Below are 27174 nucleotides of genomic sequence, written 5' to 3' on the forward strand. Positions count from 1 at the left end.
AAGAAATTTGGGTAGTACCAAAGGAAGCAGCAAGTGACACAAGATGACAAAAGGGTAGACAGTCTTTAATATGCATACAAGTATTTGCTGAAAAACACACCAAGAACGGGGTGTCAACGTTCTCTACCTCCTTACCTCTCAAAGCCTGCATGGGTTTGGACCTGGAAGACCCGTACTTGAATTGAGGCTCTACTGCATACCAGCCATAGGATCTTGGTGCAAGTTATTCACTTACCACCATGAGCCTCAATTTCCTCATCTATAAGGTTCAATTAGCACCCACTACCACCCAATTAGGCTTCTTGTCAGGATTACAAATCACGTTTCTGAAACATCTAGCACATACTGTCTGGCACATACAGAAGCACAGTAAGTGGCCATTGTTATTTCTCCTTCCTCCCAGCAAAACCATGAGATAACAATACAAATTTCAGAGGTTCAGACAAAAACTTCAAAATTATTTATCCAAGGCTTCTGTTCAGATTATCAGTGACAAAGGAACACAGGAGTTTACATATATAATCTAAAGTTAAAGTTTAAAAATTGCCAACTAATAGTTGTAAGTACTATGATCATACAAGTCACAACTCCCAAAGCCTAGCAATGCATAAAACAGTAACATGCTCTGCAGCAAGTGTGCCCTCTACAGCAAGAGAAGGCAGCCCTCTGCTTCATTTGCTTTTCATAGAAAGACATCCATGACCTCTAAGTCTCCAAGTTTAAATATATAGCAAGACAGAAAAACTGAGAATGGATACAATTAATTTCAACCCAAGATGTGAAGGGTAAAGTTAAAAGCCCATTTATAAATAATACATACCTCACAAACCCTTCTTAAATCCTTCCCCCACCCCCACCCACCACCACCACAGAGACAGGGTCTTGCTATGTCACCCAGGCTGAAGTGCAGTGGTGCAATCACAGTTCACGGCAGCCTCCAACTTCTGGGCTCAAGCAACCCTCTTGCCTCAGCCTCTTGAGTAGCTGGGACCACAAGCACACCAACCACACCTGGCTATTTTTTATTTTTAGTTTTTTAGAGACAGGGTCTTCATATGCTGCCCAGGTCTCAAACTCCTGGCCTCAGGCAATCCTCCCACCTCAGCCTCCCAAGTGGTTGGGACTACAGGTGCACACTACCATGCCCAGCTAATTTTTAAATTTTTTGCAGAAAGGGGATCTTACTAGGTTGCTCAGGCTGATTTGAACTCTTGGCCTTAAGCAATCCTCCTGCCTCAGCCTCCCAAAGTGCTGGGATTACAGGCATGAGCCACCACATCAGGCCTCCAACCATGAATTCGTAAAGTAACTGACCACAAAATGTTAGTGCCTAATTACTTGACTAAAATTTTAAATTCTTTTTTTTGTGTGTGAGATAGGCTCTCACTCTGTCACCTAGGCTAGAGTGCAGTGATGCAATGTGGGCTCACTGCAACCTCCACCTCCCAGGCTCAAACGATCCTCCTACTTCAGCCTCCTGAGTAGCTGGGACCACAGGCGCGTGCCACCACGTCCAGCTAGTTTTTTTTTTTTTTTTTGGTAGAGATGAGGTTTTACCATGTTGCCCAGGTTGGTCTCAAACTCCTGAGCTCAAGTGATTTACCCACCTCAGCCTCCGAAAGTGCTGAGATTACAGGAGTGAGCCACCACAACCAGCCTAAAATGTTAAATTCTTAGAAGTAAGCACATGTAGTAAAGCAGAAACAGCCTATTTGTTGTAGTGGGACATCCAAGCCTTTGAGTTAAAATTCCAATTCAGTTGCTTACTTTGAATGCCCTTGGGCAAGTCATTTAACTCTTCTCTGCCTCTGTTTCCTTGTTTGTAAAACTAGGGCATTTTCTTCATGGGATTATTGTGGCAGTTAAGGGAAATAATGTACACACACAAACTTTCTGTCTGGTGGGAACTCAGTGCTGCTGACCCCACTCAGACAAGCATCAAGTGTTCTGGAGTCCTTCTGGGAGCTCTGTTCCTCTCCAGTTGAATCAACATAACTAAAACTTTCTGTTAACAGAAATTATAGGCCCCTTCCCCAAATCTTTTGCACTATTTTGCCATGCTATTCCGTAAACATATTACAATATTTAACTTGTATTAACTGTTATATTGATTATGCTTGTTTGAACATGAGTCATTTTCTTAATTTGTAAGCAGAGTCCATGTTTTGTAATTTAAAATAAACAACAAAAATTTTAAAAAACAGAAAAAAAAACTCAACTCTTAATATACTCTGATGATAGAGAAAGGCTATTTTCCTTTTTTGTTTGTTTGTTTGTTTTTTTGAGACAGAGTTTTGCTCTGTCGCGCAGGCTGAAGTGCAGTAGCACAATCTCGGCTCACTGCAACCTCTGCCTCCCGGGTTCAAGCAGTTCTCCTGCCTCAGCCTCCCAAGTAGCTGGGACTACAGGCACATGCTGCCACACCCAGCTGATTTTTTGTATTTTAGTAGAGACAGGGTTTCACTGTGTTGCCCAGGCTGGTCTTGAACTCCTGAGCTCAGGCAATCCGCCCACCTCAGCCTCCCAAAGTGCTAGGACTACAGGCGTCAGCCCCCGCACCCGGCCCAAAGGGCTATTTTCTTTACCAAGCCTTCCTCCAAGGTAAAATTCTCCATGTGTGTACCTATGTATATATGTATATACAACCACAAGGAAGATTTGGGTTTTTTAATAAAAAGTTTTTAATGTAGAAAAGGCCAGGTACAGTGGCTCATGCCTGTAATCCCAGCACGTTGGGAGGTCAAAGAGTGAGGATTGCTTGAGCTCAGGAGTTCAAAACCAGCCTGATACAACATGTGAAACCCAGTCTCTACAAAAAAAGAGAAAAAAGAAAAAAAATACAAAAACTGCCAGGCATGGGTGTGTGTCTATATTCCTAATTACTCCAGGGGCTGAGATGGGAGGATCACCAGAGCCTGGGAAGTCCAGGCTGCAGTAAGCCATGATCTCACCACTGTACTCCAGCCTGGGTGACAGAGTGAGACCCTGTCTCAAAAATAAAAAGTTCTTGAGGCCTGGTGTGGTGGCTCACACCTGTAATCCCAGCACTTTGGGAGGCCAAGGCAGGCAGATCACCTGAGGTCAGGAGTTCGAGACCAGCGTGGTCAACATGGTGAAACCCAGTCTCTACTAAAAATACACAAAATTAGCCGGGCATGGTGGTGGGTGCTTGTAATCCCAGCTACTCAGGAGGCTGAGGCAGGAGAATCGCTTGAACCTGGGAGGCAGAGGTTGCAATGACCCGAAATCGAGCCACTGCACTCCAGCCTGGGTGGGAGGCAGAAGTTGCAATGACCCGAAATCGAGCCACCACACTCCAGCCTGGGCGACAGAGCTAGACTCTGTCTCAAAAAAAAACAAAAAAACAAAAACAAAAAAAAACAAAAAAACCCTATCAGAATGAATCAAATCATATATAAACTAGCACCCAGAACCTGACCAAATACAAAGAAAAGTGTGATTCACTGCTTAAATTAAATTAGAACACTTGTGTTAGTAGAGAATAAGCTCAGCCTGGCGCAGTGGCTCACAGCTGTAATCCTAGCACTTTGGGAGGCTAAGGTAGGAGGACTGCTTGAGCCAAGGAGCCAGAGACAAGCCTGGGTAACATGGGGAGATCCTGTCTCTACAAAAAAAAAAAAAAAAAAAAAAAAATTAATTAATTAAAAAATAAAAATAAAAAAGAGAGTAAGTTAGCTCGGCTCAAAAAAGCCTGGTGAAGATGCCTAATTTGGAGTTCAGATTTCACTAGCTTTAGTAAGTAAGAAATCCAACTGCTCTTCATCAGGCAGATGCTAACCACCAATCTACACATAAAGCACTACATAATTATCCACATTATATATTTCACAAAATTGTTTCAAATGGCCTTTTATAAATTTAGCTATTTGACTATTTTTATAAATTTCATCTAACCCACTTTAAGACTAACATCTTAAACTCCACATTTTAAAACTCAAATTAGGCCGGGAACAGTGGCTCACACCTGTAATCCCAGCACTTTGGGAGGCCGAGGCGGGAGGATCACAAGATCAGGAGTTTGAGACCAGCCTGGCCAATAAGGTGAAACTCCGTCTTTACTATAAATACAAAAAATTAGCTGGGCGTGGTGGCGCAGCCTGTAATCCCAGCAACTTCAGAGGCTGAGGCAGGAGAATCACTTGAACCTGGGAGGTGGAGGTTGCAGTGAGCCAAGATCACACCACTACACTCCAGCCTGGGGGACAAAGCGACACCTTGTCTCAAAAAAAAAAAAAAAAAAAAAAAAACTCAAATGAGTTTGGGATACCAGATTTAAAGCTAAGCTTTGTCACTCTCAGATTTTCACATTTTAATATTGATAATGATAGTTAACATTCTCTTTTCTGTTTTCAATCTCCTAAATCAAGTATTCTTAATCTGAGGTTCATGAACAGCCTTGGTGTGAACTGCCTATAACTTTATGCAAAATGTTATATGAGTATATAGACACAAAGGGAGCAGATGCATCAAATGTAACGTGAGTATGGCTACACGACCATAAATGGGTTAAATGTAACAGTCCCAAATCAAGATACCAGAAAATATCTATAAGGAGAGTAGAAAGGACAAAGAGTAATTCCACTTAAGTACTATTATTATACAAAGGAAATACATTCAGAGAAATTAAATCCATCATTGTTCTTGGAAAACATGAATTACATAATTCACTGAGTTTCACTGTTGAAGATCACTAGTTTGAGACGCAGACTGCACAAAATGCCCTATGTAAAGACCATAGATGGCCAAGTGAGGTGGGTCACACCTGTAATCCCAACACTTTGAGAGGCTCAGGCAGGAGGATCACTTGAGCCCAGGTGTTCGAGACCAGCATAGGCAACATAGCGACATCTCATCTCTTAAAAAAAAATTAGCCAGGCATGGTGCCAGTTACTCAGGAGGCTGAGACAGGAGGATCACTAGAGTACAGGAGGTTGAGACTGCAGTGAGCCATGACTGTGCTACCACCACTCCAGCCTGGGAGACAGAGCTAGATCATGTCTCGAAAAAAAAAAAAAAAAAAACCATAGCCACGTGGCTGGCACCGAGTAAGTGCTAAATAGCACCTAGTATTATTAAAAAGTGATGTTTCCAAAAGAATGGTCCCTCTTGTGAATAAAGGCATGCATATTTAACACTACTTGTCCTAATTAGGAAATCTACAAGCATAGAACACAGTAAACTTAACTGGAACCTATCACAACCTTGGATTTAATAAAGCAGTGTAGGGTGTTCCAGCCAATTGAGCCAACCTGTCACAGAAGTACCAAGGAAAACTATTTCCTACTTCTTCTGTACCCTATCTCTCACATGTTTCAGTCAGCCAACAAACTAACACTTAGTTCTCTGGCTCCTCAGGACCATTTTTCCCCTGAATATCATTCCACCATTACCCTATTAATAATCTGCAACACTCCCAGGGTGGTTCCAAAGAAAGGCCAAGACCTAAATTTTCTTCCCTAAATTACATTCCAGATATCAAAGCAGTAATCTCAGCCCCACCTTCTATAGGGAAACAAAGGAATAGTCTAATTGCTCCCCTCTCCCTCTAAAGCGGGGGCCGGGGGGGAGTCTGGGCATTTTGCCTAATTCTCAAAGGAAAATTCCAAAATGTAGTGGCGACAAAGTGGTAAAAAGCTGATAAGCAGCCAAACGTAGTGGCTCACGCCTGTAATCCTAGCACTTTGGGAGACCAAGGCAGGCGGATCACCTGAGGTCAGGAGTTGGAGACCAGCCTGGCCAACATGGTGAAACCCCATCTCTACTAATATAAAAATTAGCTGGCCGTGGTGGTGGACGCCTGTAGTCCCAGTTACTCAGGAGGCTGAGGCAGAAGAAATGCTGGAACCCGGGAGACAGACGTTGCAGTAAGCCAAGATTGTGCCACTGCACTCCAGCCTGGGTGACAGAGCAAGACTCTATCTCAAAAAAAAAAAAAAAAAAAAAAAAAAAAAAGCTGGTAAGCTACACATTTAAAATACCTCATGCACTGGCACACTACACCCATTTTCAGTTTTTCTTCATCTTAAGACACTCAGCCAAGCGTGGGGCTCATGCCTATAATCCCAGCACTTTGGGAAGCTGAGGCAGGTGGATCTCGAGACCAGGAATTTGAGACTAGCCTGGGGCAACATATTGAAATCCCATCCCTACAAAAAATACAAAAAAAAAAAAAAAATTAGCCAGGTGTGGTGGCACGCGCTTGTATTCTCAGCTACTCAGGAGGCTGAGGTGGGAGGATCACTGAAACCCGGCTAGGAGTTGGAGGCTATAGTAAGTTATGATTGCATCACTGCACTGTAGCCTGCGTGACAGAGTAAGACCCTATATCTCAAAAAACAGACACTCAAAGTTGATTAGCAAATTTTTTTTAAATCTCAAAACGTTAAGAAGCATCTTATTTTACCCTAAACATGTTCATATATTAGGAAAGTATATAGCTTGCCACAAAAGAAAGCTATTCTGGCCAGACGTGGTGGCTCACGCCTGTAATCTCAGCACTTTGAGAGGCAGAGGCAGGTGGATCACAAGGTCAGGAGATCATCCTGGCTAACACAGTGAAACCCCATCTCTACTAAAAAATGCAAAAATTTAGCTGGGCCTGGCGGCGGGCACCTGTAGTCCCAGCTAATCGGGAGGCTGAGGCAGGAGAATGGTGTGAGCCCAGGAGGCAGAGCTTGCAGTGAGCCCAGATCACACCACTGCACTCCAGCCTGGGCAACAGAACAAGACTCCGTCTCAGACAAAAAAAAAAAAAAAAAAAAAGCAAGCTCTTCTTTACTATCCAAAATAAAACTGAACTATTCAAACTACAAATAGTGAAACCATCACATAGGTATAGTCAAAACTACCCAGAAGAGAAAACACACACATACACAACACACAGCCAACAGATTGCTATGGAAGGTGAATATAGCAGGATGTTAGCACATACGTAAATTTTTTTTTTTTTTTTTTTGAGACAGAGTCTCGCTCTGTCGCCCAGGCTGGAGTGCAGTGGCGCGATCTCGGCTCACTGCAAGCTCTGCCTCCCGGGTTCAAATGATTCTCCTGCCTCAGCCTCCCAAGTAGCTGGGACTACAGGCGCCTGCCACCACGCCCAGCTAATTTTTTGTATTTTTAGTAGATGGGGTTTCACCGTGTTAGCCAGGATGGTCTCGATCTCCTGACCTCGTGATTCGCCCACCTCGGCCTCCCAAAGTGCTGGGATTACAGGGCACATACATAAATTATTAAGATTGCTTCCAGAATTAAAAAGACCAAGATACCTGAGAAATAAAATTACTCAGAAAGCAAAATTCCCTTTAAAAGCCAAGTAGAAGCCAGGCGCGTGGCTCACACAAGTAATCCCAGCAATTTGGCTGAGGTGGGTGGATCACGAGGTCAGGAGTTTGAGGCCAGCCTGGCCAACATAGTGAAACCCTGTCTCTACTAAAACTACAAAAATTAGCCGGGTGTGGTGGCACACACCTGTACTCCCAGCTACTTGAGAGGCTGAGGTGGAAGAATCACTTAAACCTGGAAGGCGGAGGTTGCAGTGAGCCGAGATCACGCCAACGCACTCCAGTGACAAAGTGAGACTCTGTCTCAAAAAGAAAAAAAAAGAAGCCAAGTAGAGAACTGGCAAGGAAGATTTGATTTTGAAGCACTTCCATCTTTAAGACAACGTTAAAAAAAAAAACTAAACTAAAATATTTGATGGTTAAAAACTGTCTAACATCCCTCATTTTAACTTAATTTGATTAAAGGGGGAAATTTTTATTTTTTATTTTTTTGAGACAGAATCTCACTCTGTCACCCAGGCTGGAGTGCAGTGGCCAATCTTGGCTCACGGCAACCTCTTTTTCCCAGATTCAAGCGATTCTCTTGTCTCAGCCTCCTCAGTAGCTTGGGACTACAAGCGCACACCACCACGCCTAGCTAATTTGGTGTTTTTAGTAGAGGCAGGGTTTCACCACATTGGCCAGGCCGGTCTAGAACTGACCTCAAGTGATCTGCCTGCCTCGGCCTCCCAAACTGCTATTACAGGCGTGAGACACCTCGCCCAGCCAAAAGCGGGAAATTTTTTAATGCAAAATTTCAGGCTGGACATGGTGGCCCACCCAGTGCTTTGGAAGGATCGCTTGAGGCCAGGAGTTTGAGACCAGCCTGCACAACATAGGAGGCACAGTCGCTACAAAAAAATTTTTAATGTGAAATTTCAGTTGTTATCTTCATTTTATTTTACTTTATTTTGAGACAGAGTCTTGCTCTGTCGCCCAGGCTGGAGTGCAGTGGCGCAATCTCAGCTCACTGCAATGCCCACCTCCAGGGTTCAAGAGATTCTCCCGCCTCAGCTTCCCAAGCAGCTGGGACTACACGCAGGCACGACCACACCCAATTAATTTTTCTATGCTTAGTAGAGACAGGGTTTTGCCATGTTGGCCAGGCTGGTCTCAAACTCCTGACCTCAGGTGATCTACCGCCTGGGCCTCCCAAAGTGCTGTGATTATAGGCATGAGCCACTGTGCCAGGCCTCAGTTCTTATCTTTAAATGATCCTACAAGATTATCTCATCATCTCATTCACACAAAATTCTCAATATATATATTTTAAAGGTTTTATACAACTACTGAATACTTAAATTACCGGAAGAATTACAGATGGTGATATTCTATAGACATTTAAAAAATCATATTCTGGACAATGAGAATACTAGTTATCTTTCTTCTTTAAACTTTTCTGAGTTTTTCAAACCACCACCAAAAGTCACAAAGACAACCTGCTTTCACTTTCAAACACTTAAGTTTTGTTAAAAATTATTTGAAACACAATGCAAGCAAAAAAAAAAAAAAAGGTCAAATGTTTCTTGAGTATAACATGAAAGAAGAGCAAAGTCTGAAAGACTGATAACATTTTCAGAGATTCTGGAGCCATGATATACTTAAGGGGATGGGGGCTAAAAATAAGGTAAATACTTTAAACTTTTTCTGCATTAAAGAATTATAGTTGATCTAAGTAGACTACTATATTTCTTCCTACTATAGTTAGCTGGTATACTGAAGACAGGTAGACATGCTTTATTCTTAACACATTCCTTAAAGATGAACCAATCAAAATTATTTTCTTGACACTAAAAAAATCCACTGGAAGCCAGTGGATTATGAAAAATGTTATGAGAATAATCACGAGAATAATGTTAAGTATTTCTTTCTTTTTTTTTTTTTTTTTTTGAGGAGTCTCACTCTGTCCCTCAGGCTGGAGTGCAGTGGCATGATCTGGACTCACTGCAGCCTCCGCCTCCCAGGTTCAAGTGACTCTCCTGCCTCAGGTTCCTGAGTAGCTGGAATTACAGGCGTGCACCACCACACCCAGCTAATTTTTGTATTTTTAGTAGAGGCAGTGTCTCATCATGTTGGCCAGGCTGGTCATGACCTCAAATGATCCGCCCACCTCGGCCTCCCAAAGTGCTGAGATTACAGGCGTGAGCCACTGCGCCTGGCCATGTTAAGCATTTCTTAATGTGCTGAAATAATCACTGCCTGCTTCAAAACGTAGCTCAAAAAAAATCCACATTTTTCTTCAGATCCTCAAAAAAAAGCTTTAACCCTTTCTATCTACTTTTTTAACTGTTCAGATTACACTTTCAATTGCCTTTTTTTTTTTTTTTTTTTTTTTTTTGAGACAAGTCTTGCTCTGTTGCCCAGGCTGGAGTGCAATGGTGTGATCTCGGCTCACTGCAACCTCCACCTCCGAGGTTCAAGAGATTGTCCTGCCTCAGCCTCCCGAGTAGCTGGGATTACAGGCGCCAGCCAACACACCCAGATAATTTTCTGTATTAGTAGAGATAGGGTTTTGCCATATTGGCCAGGCTGGTCTTGAACTCCTGACCTTAGGTGATCCACCTGCTTCAGCCTGATCAACATTAGAGATGGCTGGGTACTCTATACAAAAATTAGCTGGTTATGGTGGCAAATGCCTGTAATCCCAGCTACTCAGGAGACCAAGGCAGGAAAATCGCTTGAACCCAGGAGGCAGAGATTGCAGTGAGCCAAGATCGCGCCACTGCACTCCAGCCTGGGTGACAGAGTGAGACTCCATCTCGAAAAAAAGAAAAAGAAAAGAAAACAAAAACAAAAAAAAACACAAACAGCCAGGCACAGTGGCTCACGCCTGTAATCCCAACACTTTGGGAGGCCAAGGCCCGGGCGACAGAGCAAGATTCCGTCTCAAAAAAAAAACAAAACAAACAAAAAAAGTAATACAGCTACCAACTCTTATGTAAACCAATATAAATCTAAAAATTCTGTTGCTTCAGAATCTTTTTTCTCAAGATCCCATTTTCACTACCAAATTTAGCAGAACCCATTAACAAAGATTATAAATTTCTAAAAGAAACAATATAAATTGGTAATGATAAACCAAAGTAACTTAAGGAACATCTGGAGTACATTTGTAAACATTAGCTAATATACCATTGTTAGTTATTAAGATAACATACTGGAAGCAGGAAAAGCATCCACCCATTAAAGTTTTAATTGAAGAGAAAGCAAGACTTTGGAGTTTGGAACAAGATGTTAAAAACGAATGAGCTTGTATTTGCGTGATAAAACACTAAAGAACTTTTCTTTCTTTCCTTTATTTTCCAAATTTTCTCTAATTACTTTTATAAAGATAACAAGCTTCATTAAAACAAAAAGAAACTGCTTAAGTCAGATTACTAAAAATCTGATTGCTCACTGCCCTTGTGACCTCCCCTAATAAAATATCCCTCACTTCCTCTCACCCTAAGTAATTTTCACTAACACTTTTGCAAAGGTTTTCTCAAATTCCTGTATTATTTTACTAAACAGTCTAGAATACAAATATAGTAGGCCAGATACCCATGTATTTGATCCCAGAAAAAATATAAAAACTGTTTCTGGGTTTGATCCCTTTGAGGTCATTAGTCTTCAAAAGAAAGGATGATTTGACACCGTATTTACTTATTAATTACTGTCCTTGTCATTTATGAGCCATTCCTCCTTCTTCTCCCCCTTGAAAATTCCTAGTCACTCCCTCTGTTCCTCCAAATCTAATTGCTGATAAATCCCTTTCAGGTCTCTCTTCTATAAAGTCTTCCAAAACCCAGATAGCCAACCACAACCCACCATCCCCCTGAAATCTTGTTGCTCTCATCCATGCCACACATCTGGAATTTGCTATATCTACTGGTATTTGACATGTATAAAATCTATTTCTGCCGGGCGCGGTGGCTCACGCCTGTAATCCCAACACTTTGGGAAGCTGAGGCGGGCGGATCACTTCGGGAGTTTGAGACCAGCCTGACCAACATGGAGAAACCCCGTCTCTACCAAAAATACAAAATTAGCCGGGAGTGGTGGCACATGCCTGTAATCCCAACTTCTCGGGAATCTGAGGCAGGAGAATCACTTGAACCCAGGAGGCGGAGGTGGCGGTGAGAGGAGATTTGCGCCATTGCACTCCAGCCTGGGCAACAAGATTGAAACTCCGTCTCAAAACAATAAATAATTTTTTTTTTGAGACGGAGTCTTGCTCTGTCGTCCAGGCTGGAGTGCAGTGGCCAGATCTTGGTTCACTGCAAGCTCCACCTCCCGGGATCACGCCATTCTCCTGCCTCAGCCTCTCGAGTAGCTGGGACTACAGGTGCCCACCACCACGCCCGGCTAATTTTTTTGCATTTTTAGTAGAGACGGGGTTTCACCGTGTTACCGAGGATGGTCTCGATCTCCTGACCTCGGGATCCGCCCGCCTCGGCCTCCCAAAGTGCTGGGATTACTGAGGTGAGCCACCGCGCCTGGCCTATATCTAAACTTCTTAAGCGCAAGGATTATATTCCTAAATCCTGGTACTAATAGAATGCCTTTCATGAAAATGATGCATACCACCTGAAGAATGCTCACACGGTTTTTCAAATTCTTTTATATACATTTGAATTTCACCACTACCCTGACAGGAATAATGACTCCAATTATCCTATTTTACAAAAGGGAAAAAAAATTCAGAGGCTGAGTAACTTGTCAAAGTTCTCAACTAATCTTGAAGATTTATTTACACTAATAAACATATATATAGCAAATTCAGAAAATTTCCTGAACAGTAGAGGTCTATAAACCTCGATAAAGCAGTAAATCCATGTTCTTTATTGTTACCAAGAAAACTACTAAATTAAGAACCTCAAGTTCACCTCCGTTCAACTGTGCAAAACCAACTTTGTCCTTGGAGCCCTTGAAAAAAAATTTTTTTTAAACTGTCAACACAGCAAATGTCACTACAAGAACACTACCCTCAACTTCTAAAACATGAAATTCTAATAAAATACTACGGTTTCTGTTTAGTGCAAAAGATTTCAGCTTCAAGCCACACTATTACAAAACTTGTAAGCATTTTGCAAGAGCCATGTGACACACATATGACAGTCAGCTAAACTGGTGGGTGGACCTTTTAGGGGAAAATGTCTAGCAGTAATTGACCAAACCAGCAAATAAACTCAACTTTTACAACAAATACTGATGTTCCCCCATCCCTCAAAGGCCTTTGACACTGAAAAGGAATACCAATTCGGTCTCTTCCAATTATTCATTACTTTACATGCATGTAAACTGTAGAGGAAATTTTTAAAGGGCCATTGAGGAGAGCCCAACAAACTCTACCCAAGGGAAGTGAACACCAGTTCCCAGGAAAGGTGCCAGGTGTGTCACATCTGCTGTGGTGACTTCTTGAGTAAGCAAGAAAAAGAAATGCATTAACTTTTCATGACACGTCATGGAACCTCATTCCCTATCTGCAAGCATCCAAGCAGGTAATCCAAAACCTACATACAGATCTATCATAGGTCCCGTTCGTTTCTCTTTCAACTTGACAGCAAGCTTCCTTTAATCTGCGAGTATCAAAAAGACATTTCTTGGCTTTAGTTTTTTTTTTTTCCCTTGACCCACAGAAGACAAAATGACTTAGGTGTCCTCTTTAAAAAAAAAAAAAACAAAATTCTCACAAATGCCCAGGTTTTTATAGGAGGGCAATGGACCCGGCGAGCTCTTAAACAACTCCTCCAAGACACAACTCAAAAAGAGAACTAATAAATGTTCAGTTGCTTCTCACCATCTACTCATTCCCCTCAATCCCACGCAGTCCCGAAAAGCATCCATATTACCTGAAACCTGGCGGGGAGGATGGAAGGAGAGAGAGCCAACAAGCTCAGGATTTACAAGTAAAGCTGGTTTCTACCCCGAAGATCCTGACAGCTCCGCAGAGTGCGGGCGCAGGGTCTGACAGTGCCCTCTAGAAGGGCTCTCCCACCCCATCCCCTCCCCTTAGAGACAAGTCCTCCTTCAAAAGTCACTGCCTCCGAGAGAAGATACCCCTTCACACCGCCCCAGGCCCCTCGGCAGGCTTCCTCAGCACCCGCCCCGCAGTCAGGCCCTCTAACCTGACCCGGTCCAGGCCCGGGCGGCTCACCCCTCCGGCCCGACCCCTCCCCCGCGCGGCCGCCCCTCCGCGTCAGACAATGGGGCCCGACTCCCGGCCGCCAGCCTCTCCTGACCCATCACCCTCGCCTCACCCCAGCCGATGCCCCGACTTCTGCCCCAACCCTCCTCGACCCCTTTAAGATCCCCCAAGCTGGCCCACGGACCCAGCCGACCGGTGCTCTCCTGAACTCACTATTCGGGATTCATGCTGGACATGTCACTGCAGCTGCCGCCGCCGCCACCGCCGCCCTTGCTGCCGCAGCCGCCGCCCTGACTCTCCGCGCCACGGGTAATCGAAAGAAAGGAATGAGATAGGCTGTTCCGGGAGAGCAAACGTCTTCCCCTACTCCGTCCCCTAGAACACAATCAGCAGCCGCCGCCACTCAGCTATCGCTTCCACCCAAAATGGCCGCCGGCGAACCAGGAAATAGGGAAGCCTTAGACCGAGGGGCCTTTACACGGCCCAGAGGGCGGCCGCACCGCCTGGCATGCCGGGAAAGGGAGTCGCGAGCGCGGCTACGCGAGCTGAGGACAGACAGTGCGACGCAAGGCCAGGACTCAGCTTCCCGCCAAGCGCCGCGCCTCTGGGGCATGCGTACCTGAAGGGTTGTCGCCCGCCCCATTCCCCACTCCCTCACCTCCCCACCCTCGGCCCCTCCCTGCTCCCCTCCCCTCTGACTCGCTGGCTAGGACTTCGCTCGGACTCCCCCTGGCGGATTGGCTAAGGCCGAGCTGCCCTAGTGATGTCATCAGTGAGACGTGGCAGCCGGGCGAGTCAGCGCCCCACGGGGGAGGGGGCGGAGAGGGGCGGAGGGTGGTGCCGGCGGCCGACGGAGGCTGGGGGTCGGGGGAGGCAAGGGACCGGGGGGAGTGGTCAAACCGGAGGGACTGCCGGGGGTGCGGGGGCGGGGAGGGGGCCGGGGTACGAGCGTGTCGGCTCCTGCCTCCGTTGCGGCTGTTGCTGACCTGACCAGCTTGAGGCTTGCGCCACCCTGGTGGCGCTGGTTGGGGGCTGGTAGGAGGACGTCCGCTCTAAGAACAGAAGGGAAGTCAAGGGGCTCCCTGGACGGCACGGAGCGGTTCTTCTCGTCACTCACCCATCCCCACCTGGGTTCGGTCATCGTCCATTGTTGGCCCCGCGCACTACCATTTTCTTCTTAGATTTCTTCCCATTCTTACTGTGCCCCGCTCTTAACTCGTCAGCCTGGCTATTGCAGTAGTCTCCAAATGGACTCTACCTCTCTCTCTCCTCTCCGCCCCAGCCCATTTGCACACACAGTCGGATGTATCTTTCTGAGACAGCACCTGCATCGTGACCCCACAACCTTCAATGGCTCCACATCCCATGGATGGGAGGGACACAGCCCAGAGCCAGCCTAAAATCCAATTCCTACCTTCGTCCCGGCCTTCAGGTTGAATTGTAATGTATTATCTTTTAGTTGCTACTAACCCTGAGCCATTCTGCAAGACTGGAAAATAATAAGCAATAAAAATAGGCAATTCATCACTATATAGTGCCTACAATTTCTGGGAGTAATATTAACTCATTTTTAAAAAACCTATGGCCTTAACAGCTCTCTTTAATCAGCTCAGGAATTTAAATCTCCGCTAAACTTTAACACATTATCTTGAGTTATTTAATTACAAAGGGCATAGTGTAATACATTGTCCAAAGTTTATCTTCCAACTTCTAAGAACTAAGAAAATTGTCTCCTGAGACTTACTGCAGAATCACTTTAAATTCCTACAACGCCAAAATATAGAAAGAAGGCACTTATTTCTACCCATACACTAATTACACCCCTTAGCCCTCAAATTCTGCCATGGGCCTTAGTTGATGAACTTATCAAAAGTTACCCGAGTTTGGTTTCTGAAATGAACATGTTGGTTTCTGAAATGAACACGGTCACCACCCCAGGAATACCCTGAATGGTTCAGTAATAGGCACCAAAAAGTGTTCGTTACCCTGGACTCTAAAGCCCATTAAAAAAAAAAAAAGCTTATTTTGATTTCAAATAAAAACTCAGAAAACTGGCCAGGCTCGGTGGCTCATGCCTGTAATCTCAGGAATTTGAGAGGCCAAAACGGACAGATCACGAGGTCAGGAATTCAAGACCAGCCTGGCCAACATGGTGAAACACTGTCTCTACTAAAAATACAAAAATTAGCCAGGCATGGTGGCGCGTGCCTGTAATCCCAGCTACTCGGGAGGCTGAGGCAGGAAAATTGCTTGAACCCGGGAGGCGGAGGCTACAGTGGGCCGAGAGGCCACTGCACTCCAGCCTGGGCGACAGAGCAAGATTCTGTCTTGAGGGGAGAAAAAAAATCTCAGAAAACTGTGACCTGAGTCACTAGTAAAGGCACACACACACACACACACACACACACACCCCCAAAAAACCCTCAGAAAACTGTCCAGAACTCGTCCTCAGCCAAAAATACAATCTGTCCTCCCCTGGGAAGTATACTCCCAAACTTCCTTTAATTAACTATTTTCTTTCCCAACAAAGAATTACCCCCTGCCAGGCGCAGTGGCTCACGCCTGTAATCCCAACACTTTGGGAGGCCAAGGCGGGCAGATTATGAGGTCAGGAGATCGAGACCATCCTGGCCAACATGGTGAAACCCCGTCTCTGCTAAAAATACAAAAATTAGCTGGGCGTGGTGGCGTGTGGCACGTGAGATTACAGAATCTCAGCTACTCGGGAGGCTGAGGCAGGAGAATGGCTTGAACCAGGGAGTCAGAGGTTGTAGTGAGCCGAGATCGCGCCACTGCACTCCAGCCTGGCAACAGAGCGAGACTCAGTCTCAACAACAACCACCAAAAAAAAAAAAATTACCTCCTAGTAGCTTTTAATCTAAGTGACAGGATAGCTGTAAGCGTTGAATAAACACAATGTAAAGCATATAGTACAATGGCTTTGGGACCCTTGGTAAATGTTAATTACTTTTCTCTGTAGGAGAGCAAAAAAATGACTTCCCTCCACCCTGCTAGGTTCCTTGGCTAGTTTATGAACTAAATTAACCTAAGACAGATTAACAGGAGAAAATCATATTTGATTAAGTACATATGCATGGGAGTTCCTCAAAATAAGAGACTCCAAGAAGGGTCTGATGATTGAAGCATCCTGAGCTACAGAAAAGAATACGGCTTGGTGGCCGGGTGCAGTAGCTCACGCCTCTAATCCCAGCACTTTGGGAGGCCAAGGCGGGTGGATCACGAGGTCAGGACATCAAGATCATCCTGGCTAACACGGTGAAACCCAGTCTCTACTAAAAATGCAAAAACAAAATTACCTGGGCGTGGTGGCGGCTGCCTGTAGTCCCAGCTACTCGGGAGGCTGAGACAGAAGAATGGCGTGAATCCGGGAGGCGGAGCTTGCAGTCAGCTGAGATGGCACCACTGCACTCCAGCCTGGGCTACAGAGCGAGAGTCCATCTCAAAAAAAAAAAAGAATAGGGCTTGGTGCCGGGCGCGGTGGCTTACGGCTTACGGCTGTGATCCCAGCTCTTTGAGAAGCCAAGGTGGGTGGATCACTAGAGGTCAAGAGTTCGAGACCAGCCTGGCCAACCTGGCGAAACCCTGTCTCTACTAAAAACACAAAAAATTGGGCAGGCACAGTGGCTCACGCCTGTAATCCCAGCACTTTGGGAGGCCAAGGCAGGTGGATCATTTGAGGAGTTCAAGACCAGCCTGACCAATATGGTGAAAACCCGTCTCTACTAAAAATACAAAAATCAGCTGGGCATGGTGGCACATACCTGTGATCCCAGCTGCTCGGGAGGCTGAGGCAGGAGAATCGCTTGAACCTGGGAGGCGGAGATTGCAGTGAGCCGAAACTGTGCCACAGCACTCCAGCCTGGGCAACAGAGCGAGACTCAATCTCAAAAAAAAAAAAATTGAAAAAATTAGCCAGGCATGGTGGCGGGTACCTGTAATCCTAGCTACTCAGGTAGCTGAGGCAGGAGAATATCTTCAACCCGGGAGGTAGAGGTTGCAGTAAACTGAGATCACACCACTGTACTCCAGCCTAGGTGACAGAGCAAGACTCCATCTCAAAAAAAAAAACAAAACTGGGGCTTGGGGCCTTCGGAGAGGTAATGATAAGCTACAGGAGGGCAAGAGGGGAAATGCATGGTAAAGAAAGATTGTCCTGCCATGCAGATAAAAAGTCTCTCAGGTAATAAAAGTTATCTTGAGGCAGCCCTCTCTCTGATATAGATACGTTACTAATGTAGATTTCCTTTGTAGACATAAACTTATTTTACAAAAGGACAGCTTTTCAGAGCTACTCCTGTGTCTACAGTTTCTTAGAATAACCAGCTCAAAATATGCCACCAAAGAAGAATATTTTAGGAGAGCATATTCTGGTCCCCCAGAGTGATATTTGAGGTGGTATGTCCTGGTCCCCAACATCTACTTCTCTCAGCTTCTCTGAAAGTCTTAAGTGTACCTGCTGTGTACCAAGGACAGAAAGCCTCATAGCTTAGCTTCCGTGTTGTAGAATATTATGCGAAGAGGTCAGAGGCAGCTTAGCCTGGGAATGGTAGGTGGGTGTTTTCTACCCCCACTGAAATTTATGTGCAATTACATTAAGACTTCCTTTCCAAATTTAAAGTGGCTAAAAATTAAACTTTTTAAAAGTTTTGCTGACTCAAACTTTAATATATATATTTTCGTGTGTGTTTTTTTGTTGTTGTTGTTGTTGTTGTTTTGAGATGGAGTCTCACTCTGTCTCCCAGGCTGGAGTGCAGTGGCACGATCTCAGCTCACTGCAACCTCCCCTCTCCCGGGTTCAAGCTGTTCCCTGGCTTCAACCTCCCGAGTGGCTAGGATTACAGGTGCGCACCACCACATCCAGCTAATTTATTGTATTTTTAGTAGAGACCAGACGGGCTTTCACCATGTTGGCCAGGCTGGTCTCGAACACCTGACCTCAGGTGGTCAGCCCGTCTCAGCCTTCCAAAGTGCTGGGATTACAGGCGTGAGCTCCTGCGCCCAGCTCAAATTTTAATATATATTTTATGTTTAGGTTTTTAGAAGTAGTTACATTTCTAGCTCAAGTGAATAACTCAGAATCTAATTCATTAAACTAGTGTGAGCCTTGTTGGCTGCCCTATTGTTGAATCAGAATTATCCTAGGGCTGTTTGTCCATTTGTTCATTAGCTTGCTTTTTTCTTTCTTTTTAAAAGTTTTTTCTTCCTTCCTTTTCCTTTTCCTCCCTCCTGCTTTTATCAAATGTTTATGACCTGACACATAGTAAATGTGTTTTGTACTTGTGTTTGGAACAGTGAGGAAGATAAAGATAAATTATTACAGCTTTCTGTCTTCAATGAAATTAAGATCCAGCAGGAGAAAGATAAGAACACAGAGAACGCCTATAGGAAAAATGCAAAAATATATTAAAATGATACAAACTGTATAGGAACAGAAATCAGATCAATGATTGCCAGAAACTAGGAATGGGAGGAGGGAATTTTCTACAAAGAGACACAAGGGACCGTTTTTTGTTTGTTTTTGTTTTTTGAGACAGGGTCTCCCTCTGTCACCCAGGCTGGAGTGCAGTGGCGGGGTCACAGATCACTGCAGCCTCAACCTCCTGGGCTCCAGTGATCCACCTCAGCTTCTCAAGCAGCTGGGACTACAGGCATGTGCCATTATGCTCAGCTAATTTTAAAATTTTTTAAAGAGATGGGGTCTCACTATGTTTCCCAGGCTAGGAACTTTTTGGTTTGGTGGAAATATCCTGTATCTTCATTGTGGTGATGATAAGTAACTCAAATGCAAATGCTTGTCAAAACTCTTAGAACTATGTGCTGAGGCCAGGCGTGGTGGCTCACTCCCGTAATCCCAGCACTTTGGGAGGCTGAGGCAGGTGGATCACCTGAGGCCAGGAGTTCAAGACCAACCTGATCATTATGGTGAAACCCTGTCTCTACTAAAAATACAAAAATTTGCCAGGCGTGGTGGCATGTGCCTGTAGTCCCAGCTACTGGGGAGGCTGAGGCAGGAGAATTTCTTGAACCTGGGTGGTGGAGGTTGCAGTGAGCTGAGATAGTGCCACTGCACTCCAGCCTGGGTGACAGAGCAAGACTCCGTCTCAAAAAACAACAACAACAACAACTGTGTGCCAAAAAGGGGTAACCTAACTGTACATAAATTGTACCTCAATTGGCCGGGCGCAGTGGCTCACCCCTGTAATCCCAGCACTTTGGGAGGCTAAGGCCTGTGGATCACAAGGTCAGGAGTTCGAGACCAGCCTGACCAACATGGTGAAACCCCATCTCTACTAAAAATACAAAAATTAGCCAGGCACAGTGGTGGGTGCCTGTAATCCCAGCTACTCAGGAGGCTGAGGCCGAAGAATCACTTGAACCCAGGAGGCAGAGTTTCAGTGAGCCGAGGTCGTGCCACTGCACTCCAGCCTGGGAGACAGAGTGAGACTCCGTCTCAAAAAAAAAAAAAAAAGATACAAGGTGGGCTGGGCATGGTGGCTCACACCTGTAATCCCAGCACTTTGGTAGGCTGAGGTGGGTGGATCACTTGAACTCAGGAGTTTGAGACCAGCCTAGGCAACATGGTGAAATCCCATGTCTACCAAAAATATAATACAAAAATTAGCCAGGCGTGGTGACACACATCTGTGTTCCCAGCTACCTGGGAGGCTGAGGCAGGAGGGTCACTTGAGCTCAGGAGGTAGAGTTTGCAGTGAGCTGAGATTGCATCACTGCACTCCAGCCTGGGTGACAGTGAGACTCCATCTAAAAACAAAAAATGAAAGTGGAAGTACAGAGGAAAGAAACAATTCCAACTCAAACAACTGGGAACAGTTTCATGAAGGAGGTATTATTTGAGTTAGGTCTTAAAAAGGGATAAAATTTTGATCATTGGCAGAAATGGGAGTGAGGAGGCCATTTATCTCAGAATGACAAGAGGATGTAAGCAGAATCACAAATGTGTGAAAATGCACATGAGTTTAAGGAATAGTGATCACAGGTTCCATGGGAGATGAGGTGGGAGAAGCTTAGGCTAAGGTCAGATCATGGGGAGCCTTGATGCCTGCTAAGGGAATTAGACTCTATTCAGTAGGCAGTGGAGAGCCAAGAAGAGTAATGAGAAGGAAGGGATGTGAGCTCATCAGTTCAGTGTTTATTTTATTTTATTTTTTGAGATGGAGTCTCGCTCTGTCACCTAGGCTGGAGTCCAGTGGCACGATTTCAGCTCACTGCAACCTCTGACTCCTGGGTTCAAGCAATTCTCCTGCCTCGGCCTCCCTAGTAGCTGGGATTACAGATGCCTGCCACCACGCCTGGCTAATTTTTGCATTTTTTAGTAGAGGCAGCGTTTCAGTATGTTGTCCAGACTGGTCTCGAACTCCTGAACTCGTGATCCGCCTCCCTCGGCCTCCCAAAGTGCTGGGATTACAGGCATGAGCCACCATGCCCAGCCCAGTTCAGTGTTTTAGAAGGAACTCTTGGGAGCTCTGTGGAAACTGGAGGTAGGAAGATTAGTTAAAAGGTAATTAAAGCTGGGCGTGGTGTCTCAGCCTTGTAATCCTAGCACTTTAGGAGGCAGAGATGGGAGGATTGCTTGAGGCCAGAAGTTCCATGAGACCAGTCTGGTCAACATAGGTAGACTCCCATCTCTATAATAAATAAATAAATAAATAAATAAATAAATAAATAAATAAATAAGAAAAAAAGGTAATTAGATTCATTCAGGCAAGAGATGTTGTATCCTGACCTAGGGCAGTTGCATCAAGAAGGGAAAGAAGGGGAGATGCCAGAGAGGAGGAGGTAGACTCTAAAGGCATGAAAGGAGGAGCTAAAGATAACCCAGAGATATCCAGCTTACCTTCCCACAAGGGAACAAGGGCCCCAAGTGAGCAAACAGACAAGGAGGGGCTTGGAGTGGGATGGAGGAGGAAGACAGGCAGTGCTGTGTGGCTTGAGGTCAGACTTAGAGCTGCCCTGGTGTGAAAGTACTAGAAATACTGGACATTGTTCGCCTTCTGAATCAGCACAAAAAATAGAACTATCAAAGGTAAACAAAGCCAGGCACTAGTTAAAATAGTAAGTATAGACTTTATTCAGAAATAACTATTGCAATAGGGAAGAGTGCCCAGTGTAAGCCGAACTCAACATCGTGGAAGCAAAAGGCAGGAGACTTTTTAAAGGCTGTGATGTGCTAAGGGAAAGGCATTGAGGGGTGTTAAGGGGGCTAGTCCATATGATTAGGCCACCAGGGATTGTTCACTGGCACTTATCTGGAGGAGAAATAAACTTTTTGCATCTTTATGACAGGAGGCAGTAGTGCAAGTTACAGCAAGGTGCCCACTGGGCTGGGAGTAAGGGCAAGAGTTACCTCCTTGAATGTTGGCCTTTCAAAGAGAGGCTTTCAGGTCCTTGAAGAACCATTCTGGATGGTAGCTTTACATCTCAAAGGGCAGAAAAGGGATGTATAATTGCAAACTTTCATATATATATATATATATATATATATATATATATATATATATATATATATATATTTAATAGAGATGAGATGGCTGGATGTGGTGGCTCACGCCTGTAATCCCAACACTTTGGGAGGCCTAGGCGGGCACATCACCTGAGGTCAGGAGTTCGAGACCAGCCTGACCAAGGAGAAGCCCCGTCTCTACTAAAAATACAATACTAGCTGGGCGTGGTGGCATATGCCTGTAATCCCAGCTACTCGGGAGGCTGAGGCAGGAGAATCGCTTGAACCTGGGAGGCAGAGGTTGCGGTGGGCCGAGATCGCACCACTGCACTCCAGCCTGGGCAACAAGAGCCAAACTCCATCTTAAAAAAAAAAGAGAGAGAGAGAGATGAGGTGTCCCTGTGTTGCCCATGCTCGTTTTGAACTCCTGGGCTCTAGTGATCCTCCCACCTTTGCCTCCCAAAGTGCTGAGATTATAGGCATGAGCCACCACACTTGGCCATATAATTGCAAACTTTCTAAAGTAACTGCTCTAAGAGGGGGTTCAGGGCTTATCTCCTTATCATCAAGTTTTGACTGGAACAAACAATAAATTCTCGAGCATTGTTGAGTTTTGTTTTTGTTTTTGTTTTCATTGTCTTTTTTTTTTCTTTTGAGACAGGGTCTCACTCTGTCACCCAGGCTGGAGTGCAGTGGCCCGATCATGGCTCACTGCCATCTCCACATCCCAGGCTCAAGCGATCTTCCCACCTCAGCCTCCCAAGTAGCTGGAAACACAGGTGCGCACCACCATGCCCAGCTAATGTTTTTATTTTTTGTGGAGATATGGTTTCACCATGTTGCCCATGCTGGTCTCGAACTTCTGAGCTCAAGAGATCTGCCTGCCTCAGCCTCCCTAAGTATTGCAGCTGTGAGCCACTGCACCCAGCCTCCAATTATCTTTTTAACACCATAGATGAAATGAAAGCCAGAAGAGGACTCTACTCTGTTCCGTATTTACTCTCTGGTTTCCTCAACAGTTCTCTGAAAATTCCCAGAAGCTAATATTACTTTCTACTTATTCTCCTATCAGAATCCTACATGTCTTTAAGGTCCCAACTCTAGTTGGGACCCCTTCCTGGAAACCTTACCTGTCCACATCAACCTGAAATGGATGACCTTCATCTTTTGTGATCTACCTCGGTTCTTCTTTTTTAGTGCGCATGGAATGTCTCATACTAAGCTGTCCAATTAAGAAGCCATTAAAAAAAAAAAAAAGGCCGGTCGCGGTGGCTCACGCCTGTAATCCCAGCACTTTGGGAGGCTGGGCGGATCACCTGAGGTCGGGAGTTCGAGAACAGCCTGACCTACATGGAGAAACCCCATCTCTACTAAAAATACAAAATTAGCCGGGCTTGGTGGCGCATGCCTATAATCCCAGCTACTTGGGAAGGCTGAGGCAGGAGGATCACTTGAACCTGTGAGGTGGAGGTTGCAGTGAGCCGAGATCGTGCACTCCAGCCTGGGCAACTAGAGCAAAACTCTGTCTAAAAAAAAAGAAGCCATGAGATGCATATGGCTATTTAATGTGTTTAAAATTAAGTTAAATTTCAATTATTCAGCTCCTCAGTTGTGCTATCCATATTTCAAGTGCTCAACAGCTACATGTGGCTAGTGGCTACCATATTAGTGCAGATAGAGACTATTTCCATCACTGCAGAAAGTTCCATTGGATAGCAATTAGTATACAATTAGTTATAATTTTACATGTGTATGTTTTCTACGTGTGTATGTTTTATTTTTCCAGCTAGACTATAAGCTCCTTGAGTGCAGGAAGCTTTCTTTACCCTTCTGTACTCTTTCCCACCAGCATTTAGCACAGTACTTTACACCTAATAGATGTTGGACATACTCGTTGATGTGCTCCTCAGGAAAAACTGTCATTTTTTTTTTTTTCTTTTTGAGATGGATTTTCACTCTTGTTGCCCAGGCTGGAGTGCAATGGTATGATCTTGGCTCACTACAACCTCCACCTCCTGGGATCAAGCGATTCTCCTGCCTCAGCCTCCCGAGTAGCTGGGATTACAGGTGTGCGCCATCATGCCTGGCTAATTTTTGTACTATTAGTAGAGACAGGGTTTCACCATATTGGCCAGGCTGGTCTTGAACTCCTGTCCTCAGGTGATCCACTTGCCTCGGCCTCCCAAAGTGCTGGGATTACAGGCATGAGCCACCGAGCCTGGCCAGAACTGTCATATTAATAAGCTTTAGGATGACATAAATCTCTTTACTTTTTCCTCAGCCAAAAATAAATCAGCCCATCTTCCAGGAAGAGGAGTAATATATTGATGCCTAACAGATCAGAAATTTCAGGCAGGGCGTGGTGGCTCACGCCTATAATCCCAGAACTTTGGGAGGCCAAGGTGGGGGAATCACCTGAGGCCAGGAGTTTGAGACTAGCATGGCCAATGTGGTGAAACCCTGTCTCCACTAAAAATACAGAAAATTATTGGGGCATGGTGGCAGACGCCTGTAATCCGAGCTACTTGGGAGGCTGAGGCAGGAGAATTGCTTGAACACGGGAGGCAAAGGTTGCAGTGAGCTTAGATTGTGCCACTGCACTCCAGACTGGGAGACAGAGCGAGATTCCATCCCCCCAAAAAAAAAAAAATTCTGTCCATCCAGGCATGGCAAGTGTGAAGAAAGGGCAAAAGAAGGGTTCTACTGTAGATACCAGAGTCCAGACCTTCGATCTTCTGAAAGGAACATCTACCTGAACACCTAGTTCCCTGACTCCCAGCTCCCATGGTGAAATATTCCTTATGAGGCCAGAGTACTGCCAAGGCCACCATCGTGTGGCCTTCAGCAATAGGTAGAGCAGGCCACAACTGTGTTGGATAAAGTCAAATTGAAATTTTCTAAATAGGGCTCGGAACCATTCCAGATACCCTGGGCTCAGGGTGACACAAGGCTCAGTTAGTCAACCTGGATGACCTGTTTCAGAGCACACCTCCAACCTTACCCAGCTCTCACCCACCTACTGATCTTAGTCAATCAGGATAGCTTTAGGACTTAGTTCCTGGAACCTAAGAAATCCACCAGCAAGCCGGGCGTGGTGGCTCACTCCTGTAATCCTAGCACTTTGGGAGGCCAAGTCAGACGGATCACTTGGGGTCAGGAGTTTGAGACCAGCCTGGCCAACATGGGGAAACCCCATCTTTACTGAAAATACACAAATTAGCCAGGCATGGTGGCATGTGCCTGTACTCCTAGCTACTCAGGAGGCTGAGGCAGGAGAATTGCTTGAACCCAGGAGGCAGAGGTTGCAGTGAGCCAAGAACATGCCACTGCGTTCCAGACTGGGTGACAGAGTGAGACTCTGTCTCAAAAAAAGAAAAAAAGAAATTCACCAGCAAACAAGAGCTGAGCCACACCTGATTATATTCAGTTCATTGTTTTCTAACTTAACATCTATTGTTGTCTCATTGTTATAAGTGTTATATTTGTACCCTTGAGGGCAGGGCCCTCATTACCATCACTGTCCTACACATTCTTTGAGATGATTAAATGAAGCTGATGTTTGTGGAAGTGCCTTCCATAGAGGATGCCTCAAAAATGTAAACTCCCTCTGCTTTTGTCTCCTTTCCCAAAATCTAGACCTGAAGCATGCCTCCTTTCTCTATTTCTTCAAGTCTTGCTCTTTCTAAAGATGCAGTTTAAAGTCCACTTTCTGGCCGGGCGTGGTGGCTCACCTCTGTATCCCAGCACTTTGGGAGGCCAAGGCGGGTGGCAAGACTAGCCTGGCCAACACGGTGAAACCCCGTCTCTACTAAAAATACAAAAATTAGCCAAGTAAGGCGGCGAGCGCCTGTAATCCAGCTACTCAGGAGGCTGAAGCAGGAAAATCGCTTGAACCCAGGAGGTGGAGGTTGCAGTGAGCAAAGATAGCGCCATTGCACTCCACCTGGGCAACAAGAGCGAAACTCCATCTCAAAAATAAATAAATAAAAATACAAAAATACAAAAATTAGTGAGGCATGCATGTGCCTGTAGTCCCAGTTACTTGGGAGGCTGAGACAGGAGAATCACTTGAACCCAAGAGATGGAGGTTGCAGTGAGCCGAGATCGTGCCACTGCACTCCAGCCTGGGCGACAGAGCCAGACTGTCCATCTCACACACACAAAAAAAATCAGTATATCACTGGGCACCATAATATGTGTCTGTGGTTCCACTTACTTGAGAGGCTAAGGTAGGAAGATTGCTTGAGCCCGGGAGTTTGGGGGATGTCGTGTGCCACTGCATTACAGCATGTGTAACATAGCAAGACCCCATCTCTAAAAAATAAAAAAATTATATATCTCAAAGCACTTTACACAGTGTCTAAGATGTTTTAAGCACTGAGGAAATGTTTAGTATGTGAAGTTTCTAGATAAACTCAATAAAAAAGCAAGTCACAATCCTCTGGTCACTTGTATTCTAATATGTATGTAACAATGAGAGGCTTGTATCAACCAAACCATTGTTTGATAAATCTCAATAATGGCTCTCTTATGAAAGATTGCTGCTGCTGTGGCACCACCTATGGGTGTGGTACCATAGCCTTCCTCACTGGTTACTCAATGTGGGCTGACACTCTTCTGTCAGCCAAGCTATAACAACATGCTATGTGCCCCAAAGGAACCCATCTTTGCTCCCTTGTCATTGACAACCCTGTGGAGAACTTCTATTTCATCTAATGGTGATACCACATAACTAGGCTGGGCAAATCAGAATCCTGAACGAGCAGATAAGCAGCTACATGACAATATGAGTTCACATCAGAGCTCCATGTGAAATGTTATATACTGAGCGATTTCTCTGGAATTGGGTTAGAATGGAAGGGTGAGAAAGTGCAGTTATCTTTTCCTACTCACTTTGCCACAAGAGGGTCAGCCAGGAAGTCTTATCAGTAAGAGTTGCCTTTGCATACTCCATGAAATCCATTCTGTGTTGATCTTTCAACTATTCATTGATCCACTCATTCACTCAATTATGTATTAATTACCTATTCTGTTGTGATATGGAGATATACCAGTGATCAAAACTCACCAAGTCTAGACCCTCATGGATAATGTAAATTCTCACGAGAGGCTGGGCGTGGTGGCTCACGCCTGTAATCCTAGCACTTTGGGAGGCTGAGGTGGGTGGATCACTTGAGGTCAGGAGTTCAAGTCCAGCCTGGCCAATATGGTGAAATATTATTTCT

General features: G+C 45.1%; 1 protein-coding gene across 3 annotated transcripts in view, besides 7 other annotated features; it reads right to left on the reverse strand.

Annotated features, from left to right (window-relative positions):
* RAB1A (RAB1A, member RAS oncogene family) overlaps positions 1 to 13894 on the reverse strand; it is a 43253-nt gene extending 29359 nt beyond the window's left edge. For all 3 annotated transcript variants that reach the window (NM_015543.2, XM_005264468.3, NM_004161.5), the window contains exon 1: positions 13681 to 13894. In NM_015543.2, the coding sequence (NP_056358.1) occupies positions 13681 to 13703 (23 nt within the window). In that variant the 5' untranslated portion in view covers positions 13704 to 13894. The remainder of the gene's footprint in view (positions 1 to 13680) is intronic.
* Positions 11099 to 11638: an enhancer, noted in NCBI's record as "H3K4me1 hESC enhancer chr2:65354445-65354984 (GRCh37/hg19 assembly coordinates)". NCBI's record gives its function as "activates a minimal SCP1, AML or CMV promoter by ChIP-STARR-seq in primed H9 embryonic stem cells {active_cell/tissue: H9 hESC(primed)}" and the evidence as "EXISTENCE:reporter gene assay evidence [ECO:0000049][PMID:30033119]".
* Positions 13162 to 13676: an enhancer, noted in NCBI's record as "H3K27ac hESC enhancer chr2:65356508-65357022 (GRCh37/hg19 assembly coordinates)". NCBI's record gives its function as "activates a minimal SCP1, AML or CMV promoter by ChIP-STARR-seq in primed H9 embryonic stem cells {active_cell/tissue: H9 hESC(primed)}" and the evidence as "EXISTENCE:reporter gene assay evidence [ECO:0000049][PMID:30033119]".
* Positions 13493 to 13542: a silencer, noted in NCBI's record as "silent region_11576". NCBI's record gives its function as "represses an Ori minimal core promoter by ATAC-STARR-seq in GM12878 lymphoblastoid cells {active_cell/tissue: GM12878}" and the evidence as "EXISTENCE:reporter gene assay evidence [ECO:0000049][PMID:35858748]".
* Positions 13673 to 13932: an enhancer, noted in NCBI's record as "active region_15926". NCBI's record gives its function as "activates an Ori minimal core promoter by ATAC-STARR-seq in GM12878 lymphoblastoid cells {active_cell/tissue: GM12878}" and the evidence as "EXISTENCE:reporter gene assay evidence [ECO:0000049][PMID:35858748]".
* Positions 13673 to 14392: a biological region, named in NCBI's record as "H3K27ac hESC enhancer GRCh37_chr2:65357023-65357536".
* Positions 13677 to 14190: an enhancer, noted in NCBI's record as "H3K27ac hESC enhancer chr2:65357023-65357536 (GRCh37/hg19 assembly coordinates)". NCBI's record gives its function as "activates a minimal SCP1, AML or CMV promoter by ChIP-STARR-seq in primed H9 embryonic stem cells {active_cell/tissue: H9 hESC(primed)}" and the evidence as "EXISTENCE:reporter gene assay evidence [ECO:0000049][PMID:30033119]".
* Positions 14043 to 14392: a silencer, noted in NCBI's record as "silent region_11577". NCBI's record gives its function as "represses an Ori minimal core promoter by ATAC-STARR-seq in GM12878 lymphoblastoid cells {active_cell/tissue: GM12878}" and the evidence as "EXISTENCE:reporter gene assay evidence [ECO:0000049][PMID:35858748]".

This window comes from Homo sapiens, chromosome 2, assembly GCF_000001405.40.
Source record: "Homo sapiens chromosome 2, GRCh38.p14 Primary Assembly".
Taxonomy (NCBI): Eukaryota; Metazoa; Chordata; class Mammalia; order Primates; family Hominidae; genus Homo; species Homo sapiens.